The sequence below is a fragment of the Homo sapiens genome, chromosome 11, assembly GCF_000001405.40.
Source record: "Homo sapiens chromosome 11, GRCh38.p14 Primary Assembly".
Classification (NCBI taxonomy): Eukaryota; Metazoa; Chordata; class Mammalia; order Primates; family Hominidae; genus Homo; species Homo sapiens.
In genome coordinates this window covers 85628472-85647782 of record NC_000011.10, presented here as the reverse complement: position 1 = coordinate 85647782, position 19311 = coordinate 85628472, and the positions used below count along the sequence as shown (strand labels likewise).

General features: G+C 37.4%; 1 protein-coding gene across 11 annotated transcripts, besides 3 other annotated features; it reads right to left on the bottom strand.

The window, feature by feature from the left end:
• Positions 6-55: an enhancer, noted in NCBI's record as "active region_5366". NCBI's record gives its function as "activates an Ori minimal core promoter by ATAC-STARR-seq in GM12878 lymphoblastoid cells {active_cell/tissue: GM12878}" and the evidence as "EXISTENCE:reporter gene assay evidence [ECO:0000049][PMID:35858748]".
• TMEM126B (transmembrane protein 126B) lies at positions 11243-19210 on the bottom strand. Of its 11 annotated transcripts, none has more exons than NR_146645.1 (6): positions 19095-19210; positions 16467-16638; positions 15975-16096; positions 13607-13697; positions 12005-12116; positions 11243-11737 (listed from the first exon to the last, which is right to left on the bottom strand). NR_146645.1 is itself a non-coding variant. In NM_001193537.3 (6 exons), the coding sequence occupies exons 2-6, from the start codon at positions 18539-18541 to the stop codon at positions 11554-11556; spliced, it is 633 nt and encodes a 210-aa protein (NP_001180466.1). In that variant the 5' UTR covers positions 18542-18651; positions 19095-19210; the 3' UTR covers positions 11243-11553. The 11 variants fall into 11 exon arrangements, 9 of the variants coding, with proteins under 9 accessions (NP_001180466.1, NP_001243475.1, NP_001180467.1 ...); NM_001193537.3 differs by lacking the exon at positions 16467-16638 and adding an exon at positions 18521-18651 and having other exon boundaries at positions 13504-13697; NM_001256546.2 differs by lacking the exon at positions 16467-16638 and adding an exon at positions 18580-18651 and having other exon boundaries at positions 13504-13697.
• Positions 18923-19002: an enhancer, noted in NCBI's record as "active region_5365". NCBI's record gives its function as "activates an Ori minimal core promoter by ATAC-STARR-seq in GM12878 lymphoblastoid cells {active_cell/tissue: GM12878}" and the evidence as "EXISTENCE:reporter gene assay evidence [ECO:0000049][PMID:35858748]".
• Positions 19093-19142: an enhancer, noted in NCBI's record as "active region_5364". NCBI's record gives its function as "activates an Ori minimal core promoter by ATAC-STARR-seq in GM12878 lymphoblastoid cells {active_cell/tissue: GM12878}" and the evidence as "EXISTENCE:reporter gene assay evidence [ECO:0000049][PMID:35858748]".

Here is a 19311-nt window from a genome sequence, read left to right as displayed (position 1 = left end):
ATTGTGAAATTTCGAGATATAAGTTGGGTGACCCTCAGTCAGCCTCTTCCATTGAAAACGTACCTCGGGCATATTACTTAACTTCCTGGTCAGTAGAGCCTACTTACGTTCTTGGCATGGGGTAAATGAAAACTGCACAGCTCTTGGCATATGATAGCTACTCAGGTTAAAAATAAGTCAAAGGTGAGCTATTTCTTGGCTCTATCGATTTTCTACTCTCCCTAGGAACTTAAGCTCCCTGTGCCATGTTTTGATCTGTATTGATTGCCCTACCATAATCAGCACCTCAGAGCTGCAGCTTATTTTTCTGAGGATTTCTCGTGTTCTCCAGAGTACTGCTTATTTGGAAGCAGTGTTGGGTGAAAGTCATCTTATTTCTTCTTGCTTTTTAAGTATAAATACTAGAAAATTTAGAATTATATATGTGGCTTGCATTATATTTCTATTGGACAGTGCTGTTCAGAAGGTACCTCTAATGCTCTCCTCCCAGCAGCCAGTGGATGCCTCACCAGGTCTTCCTCAGCCATGCTGGGGCTCCCTGCAACCTTTGCTCAGTTCGCTTGGACTAATTAACCCAATAGAAGGGAAAAATGCCTACAATTGAATTTTATCTTAACTCCATTAAGATTAGCAGGTAAACATTGTGCCAAAAAATATATAACTAACTGTAGCAATAAATACATGATCATAACACATTATCAGAAATCTTAATTATTCTCATCCTCTCAAATTTCTGAACAAGTGATAAAGTGTTGCATTGTCCAGATAATTTTTATACTGTCTCTCCATTGCAGGGTTGCTTGACCATTAGGCTCCATAGTGCCAAGAAGTCTGTAATTGCAGTTTCTAAACTTGCACAAATAGAAAGACTTATTTTCACGAAGGTGTACAAGAAGGAAAATTCCTAGTCTTTTTTTTATTTTTATTTTTTATTTTTTAGACAGAGTTTTGCTCTCGTCGGCCAGGCTGGAGTGCAATGGCCTGATCTCAGCTCATTGCAACTTCTGCCTTCCAGGTTCAAGCGATTCTCCTGCTTCAGCCTCCAGAGTAGCTGGGATTACAGGCGTGTGCCACCACGCCCAGCTGATCAGCTGATTTTTTTTTTTGTTTTTGAGACTGAGTCTCGTTCTGTCACCCAGGCTGGAGTGTAGTGGTGTGATTTCGGCTCACTGCAAGCCCCGCCTCCTGGGTTCACAGCATTCTCCTGCCTCAGCCTCCCAAGTAGCTGGGACTACAGGCTCCTGCCACCACGCCTGGCTAATTTTTTTGTATTTCTAGTAGAGACGGGGTTTCACTGTGTTAGCCGGGATGGTCTCTATCTCCTGACCTCGTGATCCACCCGCCTCGGCCTCCCAAAGTGCTGGGATAACAGGCGTGAGCCACCGTGCCCAGCCTCGGCTTATTTTTTAGTAAAGACAGGATTTCACCACGTTAGCCAGGCTGGTCTCGAACTCCTGACCTCAGGTGATCCACCCGCCTCGGTCTCCCAAAGTGCAGGGATTACAGGCGTGAACCAGCGTGCCTGGTCATCTAGTCTTTTACTCACTTTGCTTTTCATCTCAAGGTTTTAAGCAAACAAATCACAATATTCTGCTTACTACCTTTGCCTTAATGGAATTTCACTAGGCCTTCTCTGTAACTGTCTGTGTTTCCTAATTATGTAGAAACTATAAACCACCATCTTGTAGAGAATAATGGCCAATAAGGTTGAAAAGTTAAAAAAAAAAAAAAAAAAGAGCCAGAGTGTGGAATACTTCAAATGCCAGACTAAGAATTTGCTCCCTTTTGTTTGCTTTATTTTCTGGGAAACGTTAGTTATTAAAAATGGGAGTTAAAAAATTCATAGTTACACTATGATAAGATGCATATGATGTAGAAAAAAATGGAGGCAATACTGCAGATGGAGATTAGATAGGTGCCTCTAAATAAAAATCTCAAGGACATCTCATACTCCAAAGCTGAAAATCGTATATGTTTTCCTCTCTTATATCTACTGTTTCCTGTCTCAGGGCTTGACAACACCATCCATTTCATTGCACAAGCCAGAAACTTAAGTTCATCCACATTACTCCCTGCAGACTAATCAATCGTGAACAATTTATTGATTTTCTTCCTAGATATTCTTTACAGAAATCATTTCTTATTTAGGCACTGGAGGTGACTCTGTTCTCACAGATTCCACTCATCTTCCTTTCAGCAATTCTCTACATAGCATCTATGAAAATTTTTGTCAGACAATTTAGCTGAACTTGGGCTGTGCATGGAAGAGAGGGGATAGAAATGTAGCCAGAAATCTGCAATGTCTATGATGCTTGCACCAGACAACCGTAAGCTCTTTTTGGAAACAGGAAATAAAGAACAATTTGTCAAAGCATATTTTTCTGTCACTAAAAATACATGCCATTCTTTTGATTTTAAAAGTTTTGAGAAATGCCGAAAGAGAAAAGATAATTTAGTTTCTTATAGCTTGTCTGAACTCTCTAACAACAGAATATTGGCACATAAAATAGTTAATAAAAGAAAATGGAATTTGACCACTTGTCACTACCTTTATTGCTACTACTTATTATCTCTTACCTAGACTGTCTATAAAATCCTGTGTCACACAGAAAAATTGCTGGGATATGGCTTTGACTTAAATGCTGCATGAATCTGCTGAAAATAGTTGATCCAGGAAGATTCCATACTTTTCAAAGATAATAATCAAAAAATAAAAGAGGGACTTCTAGCTTCTGGAAGTGACACAGTAGCTTATGTTGGACAGACCCTGTTGCAAATAACAACTATAAACTCTGGACAAGGAAGAGATTCTTTTCAAAGACCCTGGAAAGCAACCAAAATAGCATGAAAACACAGGAAGGTATACAATTCTTGAAAGATGGGAAAAATAGTGGGTAAGATCCACATTTATCCAGCTTTTTTTCATGAGGGCATTAGTCTGTGCAGTACATGGGGAATATCGAGTGTCAGTATAAAGCAGCATTCTTCCCATTCTAAAACACTCAGAAGTTGAAATTTGGAAATGCCAGATCAACTGAAAATTGGGGCAGGAACCTTGAAAAGGGAACCCCAAAATCTGTCTAAAAAATCCCCTCAAATTTTTGGCTGACATTATAACAGTACATGCATGTGGTAAGACCCAAAGAACCCAATGGACAGCAACAGTTGGAAGACTGGAAGAGATAAAGTGAAATTTCAGCAGTCATCTGATGCTGGGAAGACAGTGTATTTTTGAATATTTAAATTCAAATATCGGAAATTTAAATATTTCCAAGTTATACAGACCGGGTGAAAACTTTGGACATTCCACTGAGCAGCATCTTAGAATTAATGACTACATCCAATGACTAAGGGTTATGCCCTAGAATCAAGGGCAAAATCAACCAAATCAATATTTTTTTAAAAAAATCAAATTAAGCAAAAAGGAAATCAAAGAGGAAGGAATAATAAAGGTAAGAGTGGAAATAAATGAAAGGGAAAAGACAAAAACAATAGAGAAAAGACCAACTGTGATTCTTTGAAAATATTAATAAAATCAATAAGCCCTAATAAGACTAATCAAAAGAAAAAGAGACCAAACAACTAAATCTTTTTGGACTGAAAGAAGGGACATTAATACAGATTCTACACACATTAACAGGATAAGGAGAGGATATTATGAACAACTTTAACCCACTGTGTTCGACAATTTAGACAAAATGGACAAATTGCTTGGTCTTATTGTTAATTGCTTATCTGGAGAGTTACAATTTATTTTTTCTTTTACATTTTATAACCTACAACCTTGCTAAATCAAATAGGATTTTAAAAATTACATAGATAATTTTATTTCTTCTTTTCCAATCTGGCTAGACTCTCCCATACAATGTTGGCTAGAAGCAATAAAGCAGACATTCTTGCATTTTCCCTGATCTTAGGGGGAAGTCATTCAGTTTCCCACCATCATCATGTTAATTATAGGTTTTTTGGTAAATGCTCTTCAAAATCTTAAGGAAGTTCCCTTCTTTTCCTCATGCTGGGAGTTTTTATCAGGAACAGATGTTGGATTTTGTCAAATGCTTTTTCTGTATCTATTCAGATGATTGTTTTTTTTCCTTGTTTAGTCTGTTGATACAGTGAATTATATTGTGTAGGGGCTCCACGTTCCCCAGCCATCTTTCCGTGTCCTGACCAAAAATCACAGAGCGCCTTGACTGCTTTGTGACCTGGCCAGCTGCAGATTTTTCTTAGCAGGCTTGAATCCAAACCGAGACCTGAAACATTTCCAGGCACTGATAAAGGTATCTAGGTTGTTGCCCAAAACACTAAAATAAACTGGCCCTGGCCCTGAGCCAAATTCCTAAGCCCTCATATAAACTCCATATCCTAATCCCCTTGTTGTGAACTGCTAGCCTTTTCTCTTGCTGTTTGTGGTGAGGATTGCTGCAGTTCAGTCATATAAAATTTCCCCTAATAAATGCTTTGGACTGATGACCCTGGTGTTTAGTGCTTCTTTCTTTGAATCCCAACCAGCCCAGTCTCAGGATAACTCTGGACACTCCCTTGTGGAAACTCCCCTGCTGTCACTTTTGGGGTGACTCCTGCTGTGGGTTTGGTGGAACAAAACATTGAGTGATTTTTTTAAATGTTAAGTCAATTTTGCAATCCTGGAATAAGCCCCGCTTGGCCATGAGGTACTATTCTTTATATATATTTTTGTATTTGGTTTGCTAAAAGTTTGTCAAAAGTTTTTATATCAATGTTCATGAGGAGTATTAGGCTGTAGTTTCTTTCCTCAAAATGTTTTTATCTGGCTTTGATATCAGGATATTGCTGGACTTATTGAATGAGTTGGCAAGTGTTCCCATCTCTTCAATTTTTTTGGAGAGTTTGCATCATATTATTATTTCTTCCTTACATGTTTGGTAGACTTTACCAGTGAAGATTTCTGGATCTGAGTTTTCCTTGTAGGGAGGATTTAACTATAAATTCAATACTCATGGTAGATATATGGCTACCCTGATTATCTATTTCTTTTTGAGTGAACTTCACAAATCTTCACAAAACAAGATCAAATATTCATTTATTCATTTCACCTAAGTTCTCAAGTTTATTGGCTGAAATTGTTCAAAAATATTTTCTTGTTATATTTTAACATCTGTAGAATCTGTGGTGAAACATCTCTCTTGATATTGGTCACTTATGTCTTCCCTTCTTTATGCTAATTGTTTATTATTTTTGAAAATCTCAAATAACCACCTTTTGGTTTTATTGGTTCTTTTCTATTGGTTTCTGTTTTCTATTTCTTCCCCCCTCTGTTCTATATTGTTTCTTTCTTATTCTTATCTAGGATTTAAGTTGCTCCTCTTTTTCTCGTTTCTTAAAAACATACCTGAGGTAATTGATTTGAGATCTTTTTCCCCTCTAACATATGTGCTTATCATTACAAATTTCCAAGTGCTGCTTTAACTGTATCCATAGATTTTTAAATGTTCTGTATTATTTTAATTCAGTTCAAAAGAATTTCTAATTTCACTTTGCTTTCCTCTTTGGCCTGTGGATTATTTAGAAGTGTGTTAATTTAGTAATAGTTCCAATTTTCTAGATACCATTTTGCTATTGATTTCCAATTCAGTTCCATTCTGGTCAGAAAATATACTTTGTATGATTTGAATCCTTTTAAGTTTATTGAGATTTATAAAGTAGATACTGGTCCATCTTGGTAAGTGGTCCATGTGTGCTTGTAAAGAACGTATACTCTGCTGTTGTGCCAAGAATTGTAAAAACATCAATTAGCACAAGTTGGCTAATGGTCATTATCCTTTCTGAATTTCTACCAACTTGTTTTATTAATACGGAGAGAAGGTTATTGAAATCTCCAACCATTATGAGGATTTTCTGTTTCTCCTTTCAGTTCTGTCAACTCTCGCTTCACGTTATTTTCAAGCTCCCATTATTGTATGAAGAAACACTTAGGATGAATTGATCCCTGTATAATTGTGAAATAACCTCCTTATTCCTTGGTAATATTCTTTGCTTTGAAATCCACCCCCTCCCTCACTCCCTCCCTTCCCTCCTTCCTTCCTTTGAATCAGGGTCTCACTCTGTCACCCAGGTTGGTGTGCAGTGGCACAATCATGGCTCACTGTAGCCTCAACCATCTGGCAAGTGATCCTCCTGCCTTAGACACCTGAGTAGCTGGGACTACAGCCACTATGCCCAGCTAACTTTTTATTTTTTGTAGAGACGGGATATCACTATGTTGCCTAGGTTAGTTTTGAACTCCTGGGATCAAGCAATCCTCCTACCTTGGCCTCCTAAAGTGCTGGGATTACAGGCATGAGCCACTGTGCCTGGCCTATTTGATATCACTATAGCCACTCCAATAACTTTTTAGATTAGTGTTAACACAACACAGCTTTTCCTATCCTTTTAACCTATTTGAGTTTTTAGATTTAATGCAGGTTTTCTTTTAGGCTATATAGCTGGATTTTGCTTTTTATCTAAATTAGGCAATTGCTGACTTTTCATGGGGTGAGTGTTTAGACCATTTATGTTTAATATGATTTTTATATTTTAGAGTTTAAATCTATCAGCTTTCTATTTGTTTTCTATTTGTCCTATCTGTTCTACATTTCCTTCTGCCTTTTTTTTGACTAATTGAATTTTTTTCCATTTCATGTCCTTTCGTATCCTACTAGTGATAATTCTTTTAAAAAATTGTCATGATTGCTTTAGCATATATAGTACACACGTAGTTTCCTAAGGCTATCTTTAGAAAGTACCACAAACTGGGTGGCTTAAAACAACAAATTTATTCTCTCACTGTTCTGGAGGCTTTAAGTCTGTAATTAATGTATTGGCAAGGTTGGTTTCTATTGGAGGCCCCGAAGGAGAATCTGTTCGATCCTTCTCTTTTAGCATCTGGTAGTTGCCTGCAATCCCTGGTGTCTGTTGGTTTATAGATGTGTCATTCCAATCTTTGCTTCTGTATTCACATGGTGTTCCCCCTTATGTCTTTGTGGCTTTATGTGGCCGTTTTCCCTCTCTGTTGTGTTTGTGTGCTCAAATTTACCTGGTATTGTAAAGACATCAGTCATTGGATAAAATTCATCCTAATCCAACTTGATTACATTTGCAAACACCCTATTTCCAAATAAGGACATATTCACAGGTACTGAGCTTAGGATTTGAACATATGTTTTGAGAGGCCAATTCAACCCACAAGAGTATCTTTATCATGATCTACTTTCCAATAGTATTATGTCACTTTATGTATAGTATTAGAATTTTATACCTTCATGTCTTCCCTCCTAGTCTTTGAGTTACTGTCATACATTTACTTCTACTTGTTATAAACCACATAATAGTCATTTGTCTTCGAAAGAATTTTTAAAAATAAGGACATTTATATTTACCCACAGATTTGCCATTTCTAGTGTTCCTCATTTTTCTAGATTTCCATCTGATATCATTTTCCTTCTATTTGAAGTACTTCTTCCTTTAAGATTTCTTAGAATGCAAGCCTTCTGGTGATTAATTATTTCACATTGTGTAAATCTAAAACAGTATTTGGTTGCAGGATTTTGTTGTTGTTGTTGTAGTAAAAGCACATAACATTACATTTACCATCTTAACCATTTTTAACTGTGTAGTTCAGTAGTGTTAAGTGTATTCACATTGTTATGCAACAGATCTCTAGAACTTGCAACACTGAAACTCTATACAATACTAATTCCTCCTCCCCATTTCCCCCAGCCTTTGGTAACCATCTTTCTACTTTATTTCTCTAACTTTGACTACTTTAGATACCTCGTATGAGTGGCATTACACAGTATTTGTCCTTTTGTGACTGCTTATTTTGCTTATTTCATTTTGTGTAATGTCCTCAAGTTTCACTTATGTTGTAGCATGTGGAAAGATTTCCTTAATGCTGCATAGTATTTCGTTGTGGGTATTATACCACATTTTCTTTATTAATCTGTTGAAGGACATTTGAGTTGCTTCCACCTGTTGGCTATATAATGTGCAAATGTGAATAATGTGCAAAGGTCTCTTCAAGATCTTGTTCTGTTTTGGATATATATCCAGAAGTGAGAATGCTGTATCACATGGTATTTTAATTTTTTGAGGAACCACCATACTGTTTTCCATAATGGCAACATTCACAACACAGTGCACAAGGATTCTAACTTGTTATTTTCTGTTTTTTGGATAGTGGCCATTCTGTTTTTTGGATAGCGGATATCTCTTTTTTGAGAAATGTTTATTCAAGTCCTTTGCTTGTTTTTGAAGTTATTTGGTTTTTGTTGTTGAGTTGTAGAAGTTCCTTATATATTCTGAATACTAACCACTTATCAGATGTATGATTTGCAATTATTTTCTTCCATTTTTTAGGTTTCCTTTTCATGCTGTTTTTTATTTTGAGACACAAGTTTTTCAGTGTGTTGTCCCAATTTGCTTGTTTTTGATTTTGCTACTTGTGCTTTTGATGTTGTATCCAAGAAATAGTTGCCAAATTCAATGTCCTGAAGAATTTCCCCCAAGCTTTCTTGTGGTAGTTTTGTAGTTTGCTTCATCTTTGGGTTCACTAATCTTTTCTTCTGCAATGTCTAATCTTGGGGAGACTTTGGGGTGGATTTCTTTGTTCCTGTAGTGAAGCTGGTGGGGTTTACGGCTACCAAGATTCAATTATTCATGTTTATTAATGTTAGTTTGCCTGTTTTTTAGAATGATGAAGCTAGGGGAGTATGGGTTATGCATCTTTGGAAGACTCTTTTTTTGTTTTTTAATGAAGCTGAGGAAGGTGGTTGAACAAATTCTATGAAATTCAACCTCATGTGTAAAACACTTTCTTCATTATTAGATTACTGTTTAAACTTGAAAATTCAAAAACTGAATAGTTAATGCAAGATAAAACAATTGTACAAAAGCAGAGAGAAAATCAGTACACAATACAACCAAAGCAATGCAGTGCAATGCAATAACAACACAAAAGCAGGGGGAAAATCACATGGTGAAGGGAGTCAGGGGAAATGAAGAGGTAAGAGTGAAGGTAAGTTCTTATAAGAGGGACCATATCTTAGTTATTATTATACACCTATCAGGAAAAACAGACAATGTAAACACATTTACTGAGCAACTTCTACATGCCAGGTGTGGTATGGTATGGTTCTATGTACTTTACTCTTTATAACCACACTATAAAGCAGTTATTAATATGTTTTAAGAGAAAACACAGAAAGTTTACGTAACTTGCTCAACCTGTAGTATTGAGTGTTGAATCAACATTGGCTGAATACATATTTATTCAAATGAAAGATGTCTTGTGGATGCTCTTTGGTGGACTTTTCTAATCTTCTCTACAGAAGTGCTAGACTGATAACTACAGACTAGGAAAAGGACCATAATACTTGATATGCAGCAATAGCAACAATAATTGCCACGGCTGTGGTCTAAATGTTTGTGCCCCCTGAATTCGTATTTTGAAATACTAACCCCAAGGTGATGGTATTAGGTGGTGAGGCCTTTGGGAAGTGATTAGGTCATGAGGGCAGAGGCCCCGTGAATGAGGTTATTACCCTTATAAAAGAGGCTCCAGAGAGCTCTTTTGCCCCTTCCATCCTGTGAGGACACAAGAAGGCATTACCTATGAATCAGAAAGCAGGCCCTCATCGGACACCAAATCCTAGCTTCCAGAACTATAAGAAATAAATTTCTCTTGTTTATAAGTCACCCAGTCTATGCTATTTTGTTACAGTAGCCCAAGTGGACTAAGATAGCAGCTAATACATATAGACTTCCTATGAGTTGGGTACTGTTTTGATTTACATATATTAACTCATTTAATATAACACTTTGAGACTGAGTACAGTTTTTAATTCCTCATTTTATAGATAAGGAGACTTAAGTGCAGAGAGATGAGGTAGCTTATTCAAGATTATCCTGTTAGTAAGTAATGAGGCCAGGATTTGAAACTTGAATGGAGCTCCAAGCTGTACTTCACACCTATGCACATGTTGCTTTTCTTCACTGGTTCACCTGGCTTTACCCTTGAGCTCAGGCCCAGAAGGTCAAGGTTTCCCTAATTTCTCCTTTCAGGCCTCTTATAGTCACTTTGGAAAGCAGTGCTTTCCAAAGCTAAAGGAAATATTGATTGCCTTGCCAGCTTTACAAAGACAATCTGAAGTCACGGAGTAAGGTACAAATCTATTCAGCTTTCTGGTGGTAAGAGAGGTGAACTTAAGTCAACTTTGCTATACTTCCAAGATTACCACGTTTTTAATCTCAAAATGAATATGGTTAGGATACGGAGAATGAGATGTGCAGTTCCATTCTGTAATTCTCATCCATGTTCATTTTCTGAACTAAGATAAATGTGTAGCTCTGGGATGCCTTGGCAGACTCTAAAGAAACATGCTGTAAACTCTTTAGATTTTAAGCTTCTTTAGCGACAAGCAACGAATCTTTGTACCCCTGGTACCTATCTCAATGCATGGCAGATAGATAGGCACTCAATAAATATTCTTTCTTGGAAACCAGAACTGAAGGTTAAAAACAAGTTCTTTGAACTACATAGTGAAGACAATTTGTAAATGAGAAGATAGTATCAATGCAGAGAAATGGGCTATATGTTATTCCCATATCTTCCTTTCTTAAGAACTTCCAATTCCTCCTTCAAAATTTAGCTCAATTGTTACTTTTTTCCACCACAGCTTCTCCTTCTGCCTAGTTAACATACATACTCTCAGTGCCCTTACAGAATTATGTGTATACCTCTCAAATCCTCTCATAGTATGTGTTCACACTTACTCCTCCTCAATTGAGTTCCTTCTAGGTAAGGAATGTTTGTTTTCTTTCTTTTTTTTTTTTTTGATATGGAGTTCTGCTCTGTTGCCCAGGCTGGAGCACAGTGGTGAGATCTCAGCTTACTGCAACCTCCGCCTCCTGGGTTCAAGCGATTCTCCTGCCTCAGCCTCCCAAGTAACTGGGATTACAGGCATACACCATCATGCCCAGCCAATTCTTTTGTACTTTTAGTAGAGACGAGGTTTTGCCATGTTGGCCAGGCTGGTCTCAAACTCCTAACCTCAGGTGATCCGCCTTCCCTGGCCTCCCAAAGTGCTGGGATTACAGGCGAGAGCCACCATGCCCAGCCAGAATGTTTCTTATTATATTTAACACAGTGCCTGAGAAATAGCTCAATAAATGTTTGATGAATGAATGAATATATAACTGCACAGATGAGACCTTAAAGCCCAAACCCATTTCCACATACAAAGAGGAAAGATGAAACTTTTATTGTTACATTTATTGACACTGGATATTTATTATCTGTTATATACCAGGCAAAATGGACACACCATCAGGAGATAAGACCTGTATCTTACGTGTAAGATGAAACTTATATTTATTGATTGAATTATTGAATACTTTTTGAGTATTTGCTATATACCAGGCAAAAGGCACAGAACAAATTATTTGTTCACAGTTACTTTTAACTCTTTCAGCAATGCCTGAGTCCTCTTTATAGAAACTTCATTTTGCTAAGTTAGCAACCATTCATTTTTTTGGTTACTCTTCATGTATAGTTTTCTCAAGTGTCTCTTCAAATACTGCATAATGGTATAGACCATTTAATATTCCAAACATAATCTGAAAGACTAGAGGAATCGCCATTAATTTCATTTGTGTTTGACAAAGCGTCATCCAATGGATTAAAACCCTTCCTTTTGGTGGCAGTGGAACGGTATGATACCTAAAAAGAAAAAAGAGTTAATCACCTCTCCTGGATATGAATGCTATTAGAAGTTTGTTGACTTCTCCTAAATTGATAATTGCCTTTCTAGATCTATAATGTAGAGAGCAAAAAAGTTAAAAGTTAGCTATCTGAAATACCAAACTACCACATTTTGATTCAAATATATCATAGACAGCTAAAGAAGAAAGAGAGTTTATTAACCTAAAAAAAAAAAAAAAAAAGAAAAGAAAAGAAAAGAAAAAAGAAGGAAAAGGAAGAACTTACTTGGTTGCCAGGCGTCCATTTTTAGTAAAAGCCAAAGAACTGGGATAGAAAACACCACAAACTATGCCAATCAGTGAGCTTCTGAAAACACAGTTTTCCTTGCTTATATTATCTGGAAAACAAAAGTAAATTTGGTTTTCCTTTAAAACTCAAGAGCTATTAAGACAGTGTTGTACCTCACAGAGTAGTTATCTGCACTATCCTCAACCACAACTAAACCATAGAAAGAATATTAGAAATTCAAACTCTGTGGCATATAACAGGCCAAATGCAGCACATTTTAAAAAGTTTTTATTATACTTTATCACATAGAGAATTACCTCTAACGTATGTGGTTGTTGTAGAAGCAATTTTATTTTATTTTTTGGAGACGGAGTCTCACTCTGTTGCCCAGGCTAGAGTACAGTGGCACGATCTCGGCTCACTGCAACCTCTGCCTCCAGGGTTCAAGCAATTCTCATGCCTCAGCCTCCCAAGTAGCTGGGATTATAAGCTTGCACCACCATGCTCAACTGTTTTTCTATTTTTAGTAGAGACTGTGTTGGCCAGGCTGGTCTCGAACTCCTGACCTCAAGTGATCTGCCTGTCTTGGCCTCCCAAAGTGTTGGGATTATAGGCATGAGCCACCGTGCCCAGCCAGAAACAATTTTATAATGACAATACTAAACTAGCAAACCAGACCTGGATTCTAGGTTAATACATTTTTATTATCTACTATATATCAGGAACGTGCTAGGAGCTAGGAATACGGTGGTACATAAAAGAGACCTGATCTCTGACCTTCTGGCCAGTTTACAGAGATGAAAGACACGAGATAAATATTTAAATAGATAATTATCAGTGTACACAATACTTTGAAGATAAACTATATAGAGAATGTATCCAGACACCTAGTGTACAATGAGGCAATCAGAGGTCTCCCTGGGGAAAAGATACTTAAGCAGGAACCTGAAGAATGAACAAGGGATAGATGCTCTATCAATTACTAGTTGTGAAACTCAAGGTAAGGTGAGGGGCAGGAAATAACATTAAAAGCCCATAATATGACAGATATTGTGGTAGTCATTTAACCTACAGTATCTTTTAATTCTCACAACAATCCTGTGAGGTAAGTACTATTAGTCCTAACTTATAGATAAGACAACGGAGGCTCAGAGATGAAATGCCTTACTGAATGTCACAAAACTTAAGTGGCAGGAGGTAGCATACTGAAATGATGTGCGTTGTATGCCACAGCCAATTCTTTTCCCAGTATGTTGCTTATTAGCGTACTTGAACATGCCTCAGTTTGGGTTGCTTATCTACAGAAATAAAAAAATACAGTTTACCTGATTAGGAGGATTGTTGCAGGGATTAAATATGACAAGGTATATGGACTTTGTAAACTGTATAGCAATATATAAATGTAAAGAATTATTATTAGCAGTAGCAACAGTATATGTTAATAAGTAACTTTACTTAGACATAACTACGTTATACATTAGTGAATTTAAATTCACCTGAATACAAAGCATCAATTACAAAAAGCTTGTCAGTAACAACAGTAGACAAAAATGGAAGTGTAGCCAATGATGCATATGTCTTCAAAGCATCATGTTTAACCTTGAAGCAGCGTCTGAACAGGAAGTTTGAGAATATTCCAGAGAAACCAGCTGTTGTTCCAAATGTCGCCATTTGATATATATTTTGTGTCCTAATAGAAAAAAAGAAAAATTCAGTTCACTATACCATTGAACTTAATGGATACAGCCTCTCCTGAAAAGTTGTTATTGCATATCAATATCAAATATTTCTTGAGCACTTACTATATGTGAAAAGTATTTTCTAAGTGCTTAAGATAGGACAGTAAACAAAGCAAAAGAAAAAAAGAAATTTCCCACCCCTCATAGAACTTGTATTCTAATGAGAGGACATGATTCTCTTTCTAAGAATATTTACAGTAATTCTAAAATAGAGCTCTTTTAAATAATTTTGGCCACAAATAAATATAAATATGTTCCAATGCAGCCAAATTTTATGAGCTACCCAAATCCAAGAATACCTTTCCTGCAACTAAAAGATTTACTTTGCTTAAGTTCATCTAAAAAAAAGCTGTTTACATTTGGTTAGGCCTTCTATTTCTTCATTAGTCCCAGATACATTTAAAATAATTTGTCCTGAACAGACACTTCTCAAAAGAAGACATTTATGCAGCCAAAAAACACATGAAAAAATGCTCACCATCACTGGCCATCAGAGAAATGCAAATCAAAACCACAATGAGATACCATCTCACATGAATTAGAATGGCAATCATTAAAAAGTCAGGAAACAACAGGTGCTGGAGAGGATGTGGAGAAATAGGAACACTTTTACACTGTTGGTGGGACTGTAAACTAGTTCAACCATTGTGGAAGTCAGTGTCACGATTCCTCAGGGATCTAGAACTAGAAATACCATTTGACCCAGCCATCCCATTACTGGGTATATACCCAAAGGACTATAAATCATGCTGCTATAAAGACACATGCACACGTATGTTTATTGTGGCACTATTCACAATAGCAAAGACTTGGAACCAACCCAAATGTCCAGCAATGATAGACTGGATTAAGAAAATGTGGCACATATACACCATGGAATACTATGCAGCCATAAAAAATGATGAGTTCATGTCCTTTGTAGGGACATGGATGAAGTTGGAAATCATCATTCTCAGTAAACTATTGCAAGAACAAAAAACCAAACACCGCATATTCTCACTCATAGGTGGGAAATGAACAATGAGAACACATGGACACAGGAAGGGGAACATCACACTCTGGGGACTGTTGTGGGGTGGGAGGAGAGGGGAGGGATAGCTTTAGGAGATCTACCTAATGCTAAATGATGAGTTAATGGGTGCAGCACACCAGCATGGCACATGTATACATATGTAACTAACCTGCACATTGTGCACATGTACCCTAAAACTTAAAGTATAATAATAATAAAATAAAAAAAAATAAAAGGGAATGAGGGAACTTTTTGGGGATGTTGGAAGTATTCCAAATTTTAATTGTGGTGATGGTTACATAACTGTATAAATTTGCTAAAACTCATATAACTGTACACTTTAAATGGATGAATGTCAAGATATATAAATTATACTTCAATAAAGCCATAAAACAGAAAATGAAATAAAATAAAATAAAATAAAATAATTTGTCCAAGATTTATAAAACTTCATCCAAAAAAATCTGATTTAGTTTTCTTATTAAGACCCATATGTAAATCCAGGAAATAACATCAACTGTCCTTTGATTTTTTTCTTGAACTTTGTTCATTTAAAAGTCAAAATGGCCAGTCTGGCCAACATGGTTAAACCATCTCTACTAAAAATACAAAAATTAGCTGGTTGTGGTGGTACACGCCTGTAATCCCAGCTACTTGGGAGGCTGAGGCAGGAGAATCACTTGAACCTGGGAGCTGGAGATTGCAGTGAGCCGAGATTGTGCCACTGCACTCCAGCCTGGGTGACAGAGTGAGACTCTTATCTCAAAAAAAAAAGTCAATATGTTAATGTGAGACTATATTTATACCATGAAATCTGTATTCCCTTTTGCTGTACTAAGTACTGTGGCTGAGATAATCAATCCTAAACTGATTATAATTACTCACCAATTAAATATAAGTACCCCCCTCAATGGTTTTCTCCTAATTACTTTTAATTAAAATACATTTACTGCACAAAAGTTTTAGCAATACTTTTGGATACTTTTTAAGAAACAAAAGAAATTATCCACAATCCGAAATATTCCAACAAACCACCATTTTCATCTGTTCTTGTTTCCCCCATTCTTTTTTTTAAAGATGTGTTCTTCATAGCCAACTCAAAGAATAGGATCTTAGATAACAGAAAAGGTAAGAAAGAATAGGATCTTAGAAACAATGGCAATACAAAAGACTTGCAAATAAAATGACTGATTTTCAGCCTGGGCATTTCTCTTACATTTCTTTTCTAAGATAGTCAAAATTTTTTTCTATGATTTCTATGACCATTGGTCTTCTGAGTTTTGCATCTTCTAGAGAAGGACTGGGCTGACCATGCATAGATGCTGCCATCTTGAAAACCTGGAAAAAAAAATTCCAGAGCCATAATAGCTAATGATATTCATATTACATAAAACCTTACAGAATTCTACAGATTCAGATTTGAAAACATTTACAGTTTAGTAGTGTGCCAGGTACTGTGTCGTCTGCTTTCACATACTTTGTTAGTAATTCAATCAACATTTACTGAGCTCTTATTATCTGTTAGACATTGGCTTTTTGTTATTATTTTTTATTTTCTTGCTAAACATCCTACAATACAGACATTGGCTTTCTGATTTACACACTAACTTGAGAAATTGGTAGTATAATGATTATTTCTATACATATGAGCAAACTGAAGGTCTGAAAGGTTGGCTTGCTTGAGATTTAGTGTAGAAGGCTAACATACTGATACTGTTGCTGTTTTCCTCTCTCCTCATTCCGAGAAGGCAGTCAGGCTCTTTGTAGTTGTCCTCCTAGCTCTTCAGGTGGGGAGGTGGAAACAGTGGCTGCTTATTGACATCTCTATCCTCAGTTTCTCATGAAAGATTAAGTTCATTTTGGAAATCGTGTTTCATTTCCTAGAGAGGTAGGAGAGAGCAGGGATTGCCTTGGAGAATAGTGAGAGAGAAAAATCAGAAAGAGGGACACTGCTCCAGGAAGGGAACAGGCAGTGGATTGTGGCTACTACTTTGGAGTACATAAATTATATATCCAGTTCCCTATTACCACCTGTGGTGGAAGCAGAGCCTTTGCTAGAAATGGTCATGTGGTATAGCAGAGACCCATACCTGCCACCACACCCGGCTAATTTTTGTATTTTTAGTAGAGGCAGGATTGCACTATGATAGCCAGGCTGGTCTCGAACTCCTGACCTCAGGTGATCCACCTGCCTCAGCCTCCCAAAGTGCTGGGATTAAAGGCGTGAGCCACCGTGCCCGGCCCCAGAGACCCATGGCACTGGGCTCCTTGGTCGGAAGGTTCTTGTGTCCCAAGTGTGATGAACAGACAGCTGCCAATGTCAAGGGACCATGAAGACCTGGCCAGTAGCATCTTAACAGAAACTAGACAGGTTAAAAAACAAAACAAAACAACAACAACAAAAAAACAAACCCTGCACTCTCAGAGAGGATCGTTTCTGAATGTTTTGCTCTGGGCAAGACTCTAGAGTCTCTGTGAAAAGTCTTAATAACATTTGTTAAATCCAAACACGTGGTTGCAAATGTTTACCTACTACAGCAGCCAAGTGGAAGGTCTATTGCTGCTAAATTCAGTGCTTTTTACTCTTTTTCCTCCAGATTAGCTAAATAGTCTCTTTACAAATTTACACTAATCTCAATTTTAATGTTTATATTAAAGGGAAATACTAAATCTCAAATTTAAGGAGTCCTAGACAAGAGGATTAGAGGGGATAAAGCATAATGAACACACAAGATACTTAATAAATCAGTGGTTCTCAACCTTCAGCATGCACAAGAATCACATGGGGTATTTATTTGAAATGCAGTCTCATGAATTCCCTCCTGAGATACCTGGATTCAGCAGGAGTAGGATGAGGCCTAGAATCTGCATTTTAATAGCACTTAGTGCTTCTGATGCTGTAGTCAATGGACACATGTTGAATATCACTGTAATACTCATTTGCTGAATGAGCGGTATGTACCAATCCTAACTATAGAAGGCCAGTTCATTATACACAGTTCCTGGCATCAACATACAGAAGGTATGAGCTCCTTTGAACCTTCTTATGGTGTTACACAATGAGTAATAATGGACCAGTTTCTTTCTCTGCATCATGGCAGAAATGTACTCAATCTTTTTCTGTAACATTTCTGGAGAGGGCAGGGGGAAAAAAAGGTAAAATATTTTACAAATTACAATTTTTCAGTGACTAGACTTACATCTTTTCCCTCTCCCTGACACCCAAATGGAAAGTATAAGGGATAGTAACATCTAAGGGAGATTCTATACCTAACCCATCTATTGTACTAAGACATCTGCTGTCTTGGCAGACGTCAATAACATGAGTAACCATAAACCATAGATAAATTTTTGTTTTGCTCTCATCCAATTCATTGAAATCCTCCACCTTCCACCAAAAACAAAAAACAAAACAAACTTCCAGGCAATATCTTCTACTAATCTCCTACCTAGTCTACACCCTAAAGTCTCTATAGGGAAAACAGACACCCAGGATTATGATTACAGGACAGCAAATACTGAAATACTGGAAAGAACACAGGAAATATTTGAGTGCTTAAGCTTTGCAAGGCACTGTCAAAGACTCCAGTGCTTTCATTACACCCCTTCCCCCTTAAGGCCACTCAACTAGTCACCACGCTTATACCAGTAAGAGTGCATTTATGTAGGTTTATAGTTTGCAAATCATCTAACGGTTTTGTAGTGCTTTCATGTGTATTATTTTACCTAATAATAAATTTTTCACCTAATAATAAATTTCACCTTTAGAATTTTATTCAACATTCGCTCATAATTTAGGGAGCACGTGGTATATGCCAGACCTCCGGGTAATCAAGATACAGTCATCCCATCCTCAGGAATCCACAACGCAGTGGGAGTTCAGAACAAAAAAGCTGGCAATTTAAACACAGAATGAGAGAGTGACATAAACGAAAAACCCAACAACCTAAGAAAAAGCAAACAATCTAGCCAGAGGAAGCGTGGGAAGGCTTCCCGGAAGAAGTGACATTTAAATCAATAACCGAAAGAGAACAGTTTGGCAGGGGAGTTGGGACGGATAGAAGCAGGGAAATACTCCAAGTTGAAGAAAAAGCCTGTGCAAAGGCCTGGAGACAAGAGAAAACAAACTGCAGATAATGAGGACTAGAATTTAGGTCATCTACGTTCTCTCCGCCTCTTTCCACAGCAACTGGAGACTTAATCGACTGCTCCTTGCATGGACTTGGGAGCTGTTTTAACTTTTCAAATCTCCTTTAAAGGTATCATCTTAGAAGAGTCTGCCAACACTTTGAAGGTGCAGAAATCACCCCCCATACCACTTCGGATTTCCGCCTACCTTGGGCGCTTCCTCAGTTCCCACCGGCACCACACCTGAATCCCTTGGCTTAGTCCCAGCCTCATACCCGAACACCACCATTTTGGTGGCTCATGTGACTTGCCGGTGGGCGGGGACCCAGAACGCCCTGGGCGGGAAGTGGTGCTGATTTACGGCTCAACGCCTCTCGATTGCAGCCCGGGCCCGCCCCCACTCAGTCAAAAGCCGCGCCCTCCAT

Bases quoted from the DNA above. Each gene is read 5' to 3' on its own strand.
- TMEM126B (NM_018480.7), bottom strand. From the start codon at position 19,175: ATGGTGGTGTTCGGGTATGAGGCTGGGACTAAGCCAAGGGATTCAGGT. The intron at 13,698-15,974 runs GTAAGAGAAATG...TTTTTCTATTAG, and splicing joins GACTATCTTAGAAAAGAAAT to GACACAAAATATATATCAAA. The intron at 12,117-13,503 runs GTGAATTTAAAT...TTTGTTTTCCAG, and splicing joins AATTGATGCTTTGTATTCAG to ATAATATAAGCAAGGAAAAC.